This window comes from Homo sapiens, chromosome 2, assembly GCF_000001405.40.
Source record: "Homo sapiens chromosome 2, GRCh38.p14 Primary Assembly".
Taxonomy (NCBI): domain Eukaryota; kingdom Metazoa; phylum Chordata; class Mammalia; order Primates; family Hominidae; genus Homo; species Homo sapiens.
Genome location: NC_000002.12, coordinates 218,819,526 through 218,832,315, shown reverse-complemented (window position 1 = coordinate 218,832,315; position 12,790 = coordinate 218,819,526). Strand labels below are relative to the sequence as shown.

Sequence of the window (12,790 nt, the reverse complement as noted above, 5' to 3'; positions counted from 1 at the left end):
CATCTGGACATACACTAGCTGCTCTCCTGGACTACCCACAAACCCCTTGCCTCATCTCCAGCCTCTGAGCTGGCTGCAACTTGCCCTTTCTAACTCCAGCACCACCCTCTACTGAAATTAGAACAAGGAAGAAAGTTATGCTGATCTGCCTCCATGTTCCCTTCTTTGGTGCCTGATAAAGATGAGGGAGGCTCTTGGAATAGGGGCTCAGGACTCTGAGAGCCCAACTCTGCTCAATGACCATGTTCCCACATGCTCCAAGCCACATCCCCTCAAAAAGGGTCCCTCTAGCTTGTCCTCAGTGACCCAGGAGGCAGCTGAGGACCAAGTACCCAGATTATCCGGTGCGCCCCTTCCCTCCCAGCAACCCCCAGCCTTCAGGGCTGTAGCAGCTGAGCAAATGGGGGCCCCTCCCTCTCATTGCCTGACACCCAATCAGAGAGAAACCGATCCTGGCAGGGCAGGGTGCCCGGGGCCGGGCCCAGAATAGTGCAGCCCAGCCACAGTGTCGCACACTTGCTCTCAGTTGGTCTGGGGCTGGCCACATGGAGCCCGGGCTGGAGCACGCACTGCGCAGGGTATGGGGGTCCCAGGGGAGCCGGAGCCGGGGCAGCTGAGGCCAGAAGATTGAGCGCACGGGCTGTGAATGTGTGTGTGGGCGTGTGTGTCTTCTGGTGTGTGTTTGGTCTGGATTTTCTCGTGAATATGGGCATGTGCATGTTTGGGCATATGTATTGTGAGTGTGTGTGGTTCTGTGTGCCTGGGAGTGTTTGGATGTGTGTGTTTCTGTGTGTGTTTGTGTATGGCTGCATGTCTGTGTATGGCGTGTGTCTGAGCGTGTGTATTGGTGTGCATGGGTGTGTAGGCGTGTGTTCAGGGAGAAGGGGTTTGGGAATGTAAGGCACTTTCCCCACTCCTTCAGAAACTCTTCTCCCCACAGACCCCTTCCTGGAGCAGCCTTGGGGGTTCTGAGCATCAAGGTAGGGAGAATGCCCCCTCCCTGGGGCCTAACCTCTTCCCCCACCTCCTTGTCCCCCACTTTTCTGGGACCCCAATTCCCTCCCAGCCTGGCTTTTATCTTCCTCCTTTTGGTCTTTCTTCCTCATTGTTCTTCCTCCTTTCCCCAGGTGTGTTTCCCTCACCTCCAATTTCCTCTTTTCAGAAGTGACTTTCCCACTTACTTGCTGTGTGATTTGCAGCAAATTGCTTAACCTCTCTGAATTTCTGGTCCCTCACTAGCAAAATAGGGATGATAATAATGCCTGCTTTATAAGGCTGCTGTAAGTTTTAAATGAGAAATATGTTGGAGAAAAGCCCATTGGAAGCTTGCAAATCCTAAAGATTATGAATAACATTTGAATTGATTTTGATGCATTACTCCCTATTAACCAAACAGGCCCCATTCCCCTTCCAGAGATGAGCTTCCTAGAGCAAGAAAACAGCAGCTCATGGCCATCACCAGCTGTGACCAGCAGCTCAGAAAGAATCCGTGGGAAACGGAGGGCCAAAGCCTTGAGATGGACAAGGCAGAAGTCGGTGGAGGAAGGGGAGCCACCAGGTCAGGGGGAAGGTGAGGCCAAGGCCAGTTCTGGGGAGGTGGGAGCCAGGGGAGTGGGAAATCCCAGAGGAGCCTGGGTCTGGTCTCTACCTCAGGTCCCTCCATAACACAGAGTTGGACCCAACCTTCATCTTGTGGCCTCAGTCTCCCTACATAGTAGAGAACAAGGCACTGCAGTGCCAGAGGCCAGCATGGCCAACTCAGAAAGATGGGACAGAGCCACTACCTGGGGCGACTCTCAGGTCAGCCCCTCACCTGCAAATAGGGCCACAGCATCCAGGCTTCCCACTGCTGCTGTGAGATGAATGGCGACAGCAGATGAGAACGTGCTTTGGAAGATGGAGTTACTGTCCTCTTCCCCTCCTCCCCCAAACAGGTCCCCGGTCCAGGCCAGCTGCTGAGTCCACCGGGCTGGAGGCCACATTCCCCAAGACCACACCCTTGGCTCAAGCTGATCCTGCCGGGGTGGGCACTCCACCAACAGGGTGGGACTGCCTCCCCTCTGACTGTACAGCCTCAGCTGCAGGCTCCAGCACAGATGATGTGGAGCTGGCCACGGAGTTCCCAGCCACAGAGGCCTGGGAGTGTGAGCTAGAAGGCCTGCTGGAAGAGAGGCCTGCCCTGTGCCTGTCCCCGCAGGCCCCATTTCCCAAGCTGGGCTGGGATGACGAACTGCGGAAACCCGGCGCCCAGATCTACATGCGCTTCATGCAGGAGCACACCTGCTACGATGCCATGGCAACTAGCTCCAAGCTAGTCATCTTCGACACCATGCTGGAGGTGAGGCCACGGCTCTGCCCAACCTGTACTCACTCTCCATCCACACGGTGCTGCAGCCGCCACTCCCACCCTGCAGGATGCCCTGCTGAGCCAGGTGCCCCTGCAAGCCCCCTGAAAGGACTCCTTCTTAGCACTATGGAGGCCAGTTGGGGGAGGGACAGCTTCTACTCTCTGTTAGCACACGTAATTGTCATCACAGCTCTGCCACTTAGTAGCTGTAGGACCTTGAGTTACATTACCTTTCTTGTCTCTAAAATGGGGATCGAAATGCCTGCTGCACCCTACATAGTTCAGAGGATTCTTGGACTACCCAGTATAAAGCGTGAACAAAGTATGTGTAAGACATTGCAGAGGCCGGGCACGGTGGCTCATGTCTGTAATCCCAGCACTTTAGGAGGTCGAGGTGGGCAAATCACAAGGTCAGGAGTTCGAGACCGGCCTGACCAACATGGTGAAACCCCATCTCTACTAAAAAAAAAAATACAAAAAATTAGCCGGCCGTGGTGGTGGGCGCCTGTAATCCCAGCTACTTTGGAGGCTGAGGTAGGCGAATCACTTGAACCCAGGAGGCAGAGGTTGCAGTGAGCCGAGATCGTGCCACTGCACTCCAGCCCGGGAGACAGTGCGAAATTCCATGTCAAAAAAAAAAAAAGGCATCACAGAGTGACTTAGAAAAAAGAGTAGGGGACTCTCTTGGTAACAGAAAAAATAATGAGCTCTGGCACCTGCTCTTCCATTAGGCTTAGCTATAAATGTCTATAATCTTATTCTTATCATTGTTATGCAGTGCAGTGTTTCCCAAAACACGGTGTATGTATTGTCCATAGCATGCATTTTGATTCTAATGGTTCGTGAAAAAATATGTCTATTTCAGTAGCTTTATATTTGTTTTAGGCTGTGTTAAAAAAATATAACCAGCATGTGCAGATAGTACTGCTTAGGACGGGGCACAAAATGAGTCAATATAAAATTTATCTACAAAAAAAGTATGTAAATATGCAAGTGTTATGTAAATAACTATGCCTCCGGTACTTAGTCTATCAAAAACTAGACTGTGTCTGTACACACATACCCTCCAAATGGAAACATGAACTTAGAATTTCTCACTCCCTGGTGTGCCAGGTGAGGGGCTCATGGTCTCAGGCCACAGCCTTATCTATGTACATGTCCCCAGCAACGATCATGTCTAGCGTGTACTGTGACATGAGGAAGACAGGCCAGCTGGTGTAGAGGAGGGTCCAGGAGAAGGCCCCATGGAAGAACCCTGGGTGGGACAGGGAGGGGACAGCAGGCAGATGGGAGGTGCGCACTGAGGGGCAGAGAGGGGGGTGAGGGTCTCTCGGGACCCACCCTTGACTGTTCTCCCTGGCCCCTCAGATCAAGAAGGCCTTCTTTGCTCTGGTGGCCAACGGTGTGCGGGCAGCCCCTCTATGGGACAGCAAGAAGCAGAGCTTTGTGGGTGAGGAGAGGCTGGGGAGGTGAAGGGAGATGGAGGAGGTGAGGGGGAGATCTTGTACGGTTGTTCTGGGGCTGATCTCTGATATACCACAAGCTTGGCTTCAGGCCAAGCCCAGCCAGGGGCCAGGGTGGAGGAAAGTCCATCCGGAGTCTGCATGGCCAGCTGGGAGACCCTGGGGCTCAATTTCCCCATCTGTGGAGCCGCTATGACCAGCTGACACCTTTCACCTCCGCTACTGCATGGCCCTGTGCCATAGGTGCTAGGGAGCAAATGGGGGGAGGCAGGAGAGAAAGAGCCCCACTTCTCAGGCCTGGGGGGCTGCCCCACTGTCCTGTTCCCACAGTCCCCACTGTGTCTCAGCACAAGGACACTGGCAGGGTGGGGAGGGGATCTGACCCTCAACCTGCCTTCCACCCAAAGGCCCCGGGCTGACCTCCTCCCCGCCCCTCCCTGCAGGGATGCTGACCATCACTGACTTCATCCTGGTGCTGCATCGCTACTACAGGTCCCCCCTGGTGAGGAGTGGGCTGGGAATCTTATGGGCACCCAGAGGGGCGGGGGCGGAGGGGAGTCCTCCTGGAGCCTGGTGCCCTAGAAGCCCACGTCTTTCTGACTTCTGGAGTCCTGTCGATGTCTCTAGGTCCAGATCTATGAGATTGAACAACATAAGATTGAGACCTGGAGGGGTGAGTGGGGAGAGGAACCCGGAAAGGGCTGTTGGTGATGGTGGGCCAGGGCTTAAGGTGGAGGATGGGCAGTGGGGATGTCCTGGAGTGAACAGGGGAGGGACAATAGGAGCCTCGGGTGCCTGACGGAAGGGAAGCTGCCTGGGACTGCAAGGTGAGGCAGGTGACCGGCTCCCCTGGCCTGACTCTGGCTCTTTCTGCAGAGATCTACCTGCAAGGCTGCTTCAAGCCTCTGGTCTCCATCTCTCCTAATGATAGGTGGGTGTCTCTGCTCATTCACCTGAGCCTCCTCCTCCCACAGTCCCCTTCCCCAGTCCCACTCAGCTCTGAACTCACCTCTTCATCCTAGGCGGCACACAGACAAGGGAGCCTTGGTGCCCTGCCCTCCTTTTTAGGGGCCTGGGATGGAGGTTGTCTCTCCCTAGGCTGCCCCGAGGCTCACTGCTCCCATCTCTGCAGCCTGTTTGAAGCTGTCTACACCCTCATCAAGAACCGGATCCATCGCCTGCCTGTTCTTGACCCGGTGTCAGGCAACGTACTCCACATCCTCACACACAAACGCCTGCTCAAGTTCCTGCACATCTTTGTAAGCCTGGGCCCAGGTGGGAGGAAGGGGGAGACCTGGGCAGGTGATCAGAGGGCCTGAGGAGTCTTCAGCCCTAGCAGTCGTGGGGAAGAGCTGGGAGCCCTCTTGAAGCTGCTGGATCCCTGATCTCCACCTGGTCCCCATCCTAACCAGGGTTCCCTGCTGCCCCGGCCCTCCTTCCTCTACCGCACTATCCAAGATTTGGGCATCGGCACATTCCGAGACTTGGCTGTGGTGCTGGAGACAGCACCCATCCTGACTGCACTGGACATCTTTGTGGACCGGCGTGTGTCTGCACTGCCTGTGGTCAACGAATGTGGTACCCACCCCCAGGATGAGAGGCTCGGGCTGGGCTGGGGCCTGGGAGAACCTGGTGGGGAGAATATGGGAAGGGCAGGGTTTCTCATGCCATCCCTGTGGGGGGTACAGGATGGACTGGGGATTAGAAGTCTCCGTCTACTCTGAGACTTGGGCAAGTTGCTTAGCCTCTCTGTGCCTCAGTTTCCTCCTTTGTGAAATGGGATTCTTCACAACACTCATCTTTCTGACTTCACAGGAGGATTTAAAAGGTTATGTGCATGAAAATGGGCATAGCGAGAGGAAGCAGCAGATTTTAGTTTCAGTTCATCTTAAAATGGAGCCGGACACGTGGTGCATGGCTGTAATGCCAGCCCTTTGAGAGAGGCCAGAGCGAGAAGGTCGCTTGAGGCCAGGAGTTTGAGTTTACATACAGTGACACTCCAACCTGGGCAACAGAGCAAGACCCTGTCTCTAAAATAATAATAACGAAATAATAAAATTTAAAAAATTAAATGTGCCATGGGACCTCGGGCCCCCAGCCAGCCCTCAATTTCCTACACTGAAAAAGGGCTGCAGAAATGACAAGATTATTTCTTTGGTTGAATGATGGCTATGAAATATTTCAAAGCTAAAATCACCATAATTAAGATAGATATCAAGAAGTGTTTTCAATTTATTTTTGATTATAAAAAACTTCAAATGTATAGAAATGGTAGAAAGAAATTGCATAATGAACCACCTATATCCATTGCCTAGATTAACTACTGTTACTATATTGCCATAACCAGTTCATCTTTTTCTCTGAAGTAATTCAAAGTAAATTACAGACATCATGTCATTTCACCCCTAAACACTTTAGTCTGCACTTCTTAAAACAAGTGTATTTTTGGCCAGGGGCGGTGGCTCATGCCTGTAATCCCAGCACTTTGGGAGGCCAAGGTGGGCGGATCACGAGGTCAAGAGATCGAGACTATCCTGGCCAATATGATGAAACCCCATCTCTACTAAAACTACAAAAAAAAATTAGCTGGGCATGGTGGCGCACACCTCTAGTCCCAGCTACTTAGGAGGCTGAGGTAGGAGAATCGGTTGAACCTGGGAGGCAGAGGTTGCAGTGAGCCAAGATCGCGCCACTGTACTCCAGCCTGGCAACAGAGCGAGACTCCAAAAAAAAAAAAAAAAAGTGCATTTTATACCACCAAACAAAACCATGAATAATTCATATTATTGTCTGACATCCAATCCTTATTCTCACTTCTCCATTTCCTCAAGAATGTTGGGTATTTTGGGTGTTGTTTTGGGATGGAGTCTCCCTCTGTCACTCAGGCTAAAGTGCAGTGGTGCCATCTCGGCTCACTGCAACCTCTGCCTCCCGAGTTCAAGTGATTCTTGTGCCTCAGCCTCCTGAGTAGCTGGGATTACAGGCAAATGACACCACGCCCAGCTAATTTTTGGGGGGTATTTTTAGTAGAGATGAGGTTTCACCATATAGGCCAGGCCAGTCTCCAACTCCTGACCTCAAGTGATCCACCTGTCTTGGCCTCCCAAAGTGTTGGGATTACAGGCATGAGCCACCGCGACCGGCCAAGAATTTTTTTTTTTTTTTTTTTTGAGACAGAGTCTTGCTCTGTCGCCTGGGCTAGAATGCAATGGTGCAATCTTGGCTCACTGCAACCTCCACCTCCCAGATTCAAGCAATTCTCCTGCCTCAGCCGCCCAAATAGCTGGGTTTACAGGTGCGTGCCATCACACCTGGCTAATTTTTTGTATCTTTAGTAGAGATGGGGTTTCACTATGTTGGCCAGGCTGGTTTTGAACTCCTGACCTTGTGATCCACCCACCTCGGCCTCCCAAGGGAATGTATTTTTCATAGTTGATGTGTTCAAAACAGGATCCAATTGAAGTCCATGGTTTACATTCGTGTCTTTTGTTCCTTAAATCTCTTTAAATCTATAACAGCTCCATTCCCCCTAAATTGTTATGACGTGGGTGAGTTGAAAAGCCTGGGTCAGTTGTCCTATAGGATACCCCACATCCAGATTTGTCTGTTTGCTTTCTAGAGCTGGCCTTTACTTTGTTCTCTATTCCTGGGTTTCCTGTAAACTGAAATTATATCTAAAGGCTTGAAGAGATTTGGGCAATAAATTCGAGGCTAGACTATTTTGTAGGTGGTGCCATGTTACTCACACTGCATTTCCTCAGGATGCTCAATGTCAGGCTGTCTCACTCTGGGATGCTAAGTTTGATCCTTGGGTTCTGGTAGTGGCACCCTGATGCAAATAGCCCTAGGCCCTCTACACAGCACCCCGGTTCTGACCGGAGCCTCTTCCCTGTCTTTCTCCCCCCACCCCCCACAACCACCCTCTGCAGGTCAGGTCGTGGGCCTCTATTCCCGCTTTGATGTGATTGTAAGTGTCGCTGGAAAGGTGGGATGCTGCAGGGAGGCTAAGGGTGTGGGGATGGGTGGGGGGCCTCTGTGGACCAGGGGGACCTTGACAAGTATGCAGGGGTTGACATCTGTAGGGTAGGAGCCCAGGCAAGGGGGTGACTAGGAGCCATACTTCTCTCTCTGCCCCAGCACCTGGCTGCCCAGCAAACCTACAACCACCTGGACATGAGTGTGGGAGAAGCCCTGAGGCAGAGGACACTATGTCTGGAGGGAGTCCTTTCCTGCCAGCCCCACGAGAGCTTGGGGGAAGTGATCGACAGGATTGCTCGGGAGCAGGTACCGTGTGCCCTCCATTCATGCCCCCAACACATATAGCCCAGTCCTTCTCATGCACGGCTCCAGCCATCCCTGAACATCGGGCACCTGGCCTATCCTTCCATTTCATGACCAACTCCTGGTGCCCACACTGGCCTGCACCTGGTCCTGTCCATGGGGCCCTTATGCCAGGGGTCACTGCCAACTGATCACCTTAGGCCGGTCACACCATCCCTAACTGGTTTCTAGGAGACGCTCTCTCCCTCAGTCATGTTGGGTTGTTTCCCCTGATTCTTGGCACCAACCTCAGTAGCTGCTGTAGCCCCATGGCTCTGCCCCCTCACTGAACATTGCGGACCCACAGGTACACAGGCTGGTGCTAGTGGACGAGACCCAGCATCTCTTGGGCGTGGTCTCCCTCTCCGACATCCTTCAGGCACTGGTGCTCAGCCCTGCTGGCATCGATGCCCTCGGGGCCTGAGAAGATCTGAGTCCTCAATCCCAAGCCACCTGCACACCTGGAAGCCAATGAAGGGAACTGGAGAACTCAGCCTTCATCTTCCCCCACCCCCATTTGCTGGTTCAGCTATGATTCAGGTAGGCTCTGCCCTGGGCCATGACACCAGCCTCTTAGTCTTCCTGATTTCCTGGATCTCAGATTGGGACACCCTGAGGATGGGAGTGGCCAAGCTCAAAGCTGAGCAGCCCTGTGAAAACTGCAAGTGTAAGGACTCACAGGTCCCCACTTTGTCCCATTTTCAGCTGAGGTCATGGAGACTGTCCTAGAAGGGAGGGACAAAGCCCCGGCTAAAAGCTAAGGCTGCGATGTGACTTCAGACACTCTGGGAAGATTTACTTGTTCCCTCACAATTCAATTTCCACCTGCTGGAAATCCCCTTAGAAGGAAGCAAGCTATATCAACATTTGTTGGATGGAATTTCCATCCCCAGTAAGAACTAAAGCTTAAAGGAAGGAGCTTCTACCTACGTGCTCATCTCAGGAAATGTGACATGATCTCAGACTCTTTCCTGGTCACACGTTTGCTAGGGGCTTGCAGAGGATGGGCACAGATTCCATCTACTCACCATGGCTGGCAAGGGTCCCCTGTTGGAAAGGCCGCTGTCCCTCCTATGTGGTCACCATCTTCCCTTTTCTTTTCCCCACAGGCTTCTTCAGCCCTCCCAAATTGCCCTTGCCCTACCTGTGCTCCCAGAAGCCCTCGGGCATGCCCAGTGCACCATGGGATGATGAAATTAAGGAGAACAGCTGAGTCAAGCTTGGAGGTCCCTGAACCAGAGGCACTAGGATTACCCCAGGGCCATCTGTGCTCCATGCCCGCCCATCCCCTTGCCGCCTGACTGGGTCGGATGGCCCCAGTGGGTTTAGTCAGGGCTTCTGGATTCCTCGGTTTCTGGGCTACCTATGGCTTCAGCCTTCAGCTCCTGGGAGTCCCAGCTGTTGTTCCCAGCAACGTCGCCACTGCCCTCCTACTCTCCAGGCTTTGTCATTTCAAGGCTGCTGAAATGCTGCATTTCAGGGGCCACCATGGAGCAGCCGTTATTTATAGAACTGCCTGTTGGAGGTGGGGAGTCCTCCCTCCATTCTTGTCCAGAAAACTCCTTAGCTCTCGCAGTGAGCCATGTTCTTAGTCTCCAGGGATGGATGGCCTTGTATATGGACCCCTGAGAATGAGCAATTGAGAAAACAAAACAAAAGGAACAATCCATGAACTTAGATTTTATTGGTTTCACTCAAAATGCTGCAGTCATTTGACCTGAACTTGTGGCAAGAGACTTGTGCTTTCTAAATTCAAAGACTAGAAGGAAAATGGATAAAAATCACAAGTGCCGTTTCTCTTGCAATGTAGCGCTATTCTACTGAAATTTCTTTCTTCTCTTTTCTTTACAAAATCATAAAGAAAAAATTAATTCATTACTTATATAGTAGGTACAACTCAGCCTACAAACTCTAATCTGCAAGAAGCATAACTTTATTTTTCTAACACAGAATGTAATTTCTATTAGGAACCCCGTTTCAGCAGGTGGTAGAAATTAATCTCAGTCAATTCAAAGTCTCCCCCTGACCTTTTCCTGGGGTTAAGCTCGGTCGGGTGGGGGTGTGGCTTTAAGTCATGTAAGACTCTGTTCCTCGGCTATCATCATCCGTCCATGCTCGCACCTGCCTGGACATCCCCTCCCCATCTGGTCATCAGTTGGTCATGCAAGGTCTGCCAGGGGCTCCTTCACTTCCACAAAGCCTATTTGGGGACCTGTGGCTTGGAGCATGTGGAAGATTCTAGCTCCTGGCCCTGCACACCCTCTGGCTTCAGGAAGCTCAGTAATTCTGTTCCAGGCCAACTGCTAAGATAGACAGCCCAGTCCCTTGTTCCGCTCTGTGGCTTGCTGTTTTCCCAGGCTCTACCCAGGAAGCGTGTGGGTTCTTCTACCCAGTGCTTGCCTACACTTATCACCTCCAAACCTATATGGAGTATTTGTCATACTTTCCCCCTCTTTAGCCGCAACCTCCTTCTCAGGGTCCTTTTCTCAAGAATTCCAGAAATGTCAACATTCGCCTTGCTCCCCAAGCCCTGCCAACCTATGGAATCTTGACCAGTGGGGGAGAGAGGAGGCTTTTATTCTTTAACCCATCATATATTCTTCCAAATGCACTGTAAGTGTCCTGAGTTCTTGCCACCCACCTTCAGAATCAAGCTTTTAAAATTCCAAAGCCAAGGCTCGCTTCTGCTATGTCACCTTCCCTGTGGCAACGGGCACCACATGTCTGGCTGTCCAGAGAAGGGGGAGATTACTGTCTCTAAAACATGACCCCTTCCCCTTACCTCACAGAGCGAGAAGGCAGAGGCTTTGTACTGAATTGGTTGGACCATAAATGAAGATGTTCCCTCACTAGACATTTTGCCAAAACCTGAGGGTCAGTGCTGGCTCTGCTGTGGTCCCGCCCAGGGAAGGTCCAGGGTCTTGGGCTCAAGGGAGAGGATTGGAGTTGGGTGATGGTTGGGTCTGGGCCCAGAGAGGATCTCTCCAGTGACAGTGTTCCTGGGGAGCCTAGGGCTCTGGGATCTTGTAACAGGTCAGTCCTTTGAGGCTGTGCCTCTGGGTGGCTCTGCTCTGTGGGACCTTCTCTGTAAGGGCACATGCCACCCTCCCTGCCTCAGACCCCTCCTTTGGTCACAGCCCGGCCCTTGCAGCCATGATGGCTGCTAGAAAAGAGTCACGGAGTTTCCACCGGGGCTGCGGCGGCTGCTTCTTCCACTCCAGCTCTGAATCGAAGACGTGCCCTGTGTGCAGCCCGCTGTGCCGCCCACTCTGTTCCTGCATGTGAACTTGGGGCGGGACTGGTTTTCCAGGCACTGCTGCCTCCGTGCCCCCAGCCCCTCCTCAGACCTCTGCGGGCCTCTCTGGGTTTCTGTAGCTTCCTTCGCTTTCCCGTCTCTCTTCTCACAACCCCTTCAGAGCTCTCCACCATGGATGTGCATCAGGATCACCAAAGAAGCCTTACAAAATGCAGATTCCAGGGCTCCATTCCATACTAATTTCCTCATTTGGGGGTGGGAACTGAGCAACTGTGTTTATTTTCTATAAATGCTAGAGACTTATGACTAATAGCACATGATGAACATGAGACTGGGCTGAGAAATGAGGATGCCCCATGCTCATAGCTAGTCAATCATTTGTCATATGATGGAGTCTAGCTATTATTTAATTAGGCCTAGGGTCTCCGAAAAGCAATGGCTAAGGGTAGTGGCGCAACATAGATGTATGACTCATTACCATTCTCACCACCCTTCTCCCAGACCTCCTTAAATGCAGAAGTGTTCATTAAAATATCCTGCATGTTCCTTTCATGACAATTGCCCAAGTTTTTATTTGATATGCATATTAAAACTGGAGTCATAAATAATGACCTGGAAACAAACTCCTATTACCAAGCCAAAATGCACTCAGAGCTAAAACTTTTATAGAACCTGGGCATGTAGATAGCCAGGCAACACTGGGTACCCTGTCTATTTTTATTTACAAGAGTGCCGCCTTGGCCAGGCGTGGTGGCTCATGCCTGTAATCCCAGCACTTTGGGAGGCCGAGGCGGGTGGATCACCTGAGGTCAGGAGTTCGAGGCTCAGCCTGGGCAGCATGGTGAAACCCCGTCTCCACTAAAAATACAAAAAATTAGCCGGGTGTTGTAGCGGGCGCCTACAATCCCAACTACTCGGGAGGCTGAGGCAGGAGCATTGCTTGAACCTAGGAGTCGGAGGTTGCAGTGAGCCGAGATCGCGCCATTGCACTCCAGCCTGGGCGACAAGAGTGAAACTCCATCTAAAAAAAAAAAAAAGACCAGGTGCAGTGGCTCGCTCCTGTAATCCCAGCACTTTGGGAGGGCGAGGTGGGCAGATCACGAGGTCAGGAGATCGAGACCATCCTGGCTAACACGGTGAAACCCTGTCTCTACTAAAAATAGAAACAATTAGCCAGGCATGGTGGCGGAGGCCTGTAGTCCCAGCTACTCGGGAGGCTGAGGCAGGAGAATGGTATGAACCCAGGAGGCGGAGGTTGCAGTGAGCCGAGATCGTGCCACTGCACTCCAGCCTGGGCGAAACTGTGAGACTCTGTCTCAAAAAAAAAAAAAAGAGTGCCGCCTTGTTTAAGAAGACAAGTTGTTTTCTTAAAGTCTTACCGGAAAATATGGATCTGAATTTGGC

At 52.0% G+C, this 12,790-nt stretch overlaps 1 protein-coding gene and 1 non-coding gene across 2 annotated transcripts, besides 1 other annotated feature; one reads left to right on the top strand and one right to left on the bottom strand.

The window, feature by feature from the left end:
• Positions 513-10,008, top strand: PRKAG3 (protein kinase AMP-activated non-catalytic subunit gamma 3). The gene is made up of 14 exons (NM_017431.4): positions 513-578; positions 941-980; positions 1,415-1,570; positions 1,935-2,338; positions 3,716-3,797; positions 4,254-4,312; positions 4,438-4,483; positions 4,687-4,741; positions 4,943-5,069; positions 5,223-5,388; positions 7,740-7,777; positions 7,948-8,094; positions 8,438-8,670; positions 9,240-10,008. The coding sequence occupies exons 1-13, from the start codon at positions 546-548 to the stop codon at positions 8,552-8,554; spliced, it is 1,470 nt and encodes a 489-aa protein (NP_059127.2). The 5' UTR covers positions 513-545; the 3' UTR covers positions 8,555-8,670; positions 9,240-10,008.
• Positions 8,255-9,454: an enhancer, noted in NCBI's record as "CDK7 strongly-dependent group 2 enhancer chr2:219687585-219688784 (GRCh37/hg19 assembly coordinates)". NCBI's record gives its function as "activates an origin of replication core promoter dependent on BRD2, BRD4, P300/CBP, MED14 and CDK7 cofactors, with strong dependence on CDK7, by STARR-seq in HCT116 cells {active_cell/tissue: HCT116}" and the evidence as "EXISTENCE:reporter gene assay evidence [ECO:0000049][PMID:35650434]".
• Positions 9,162-9,226, bottom strand: MIR9500 (microRNA 9500). Its single transcript, NR_128707.1, has one exon. It is a non-coding gene; the product is annotated as a microRNA 9500 (primary transcript).

Bases quoted from the DNA above. Each gene is read 5' to 3' on its own strand.
- PRKAG3 (NM_017431.4), top strand. From the start codon at position 546: ATGGAGCCCGGGCTGGAGCACGCACTGCGCAGG. The intron at 1,571-1,934 runs GTGAGGCCAAGG...TCCCCCAAACAG, and splicing joins GCCACCAGGTCAGGGGGAAG to GTCCCCGGTCCAGGCCAGCT. The intron at 4,484-4,686 runs GTGAGTGGGGAG...CTCTTTCTGCAG, and splicing joins TAAGATTGAGACCTGGAGGG to AGATCTACCTGCAAGGCTGC.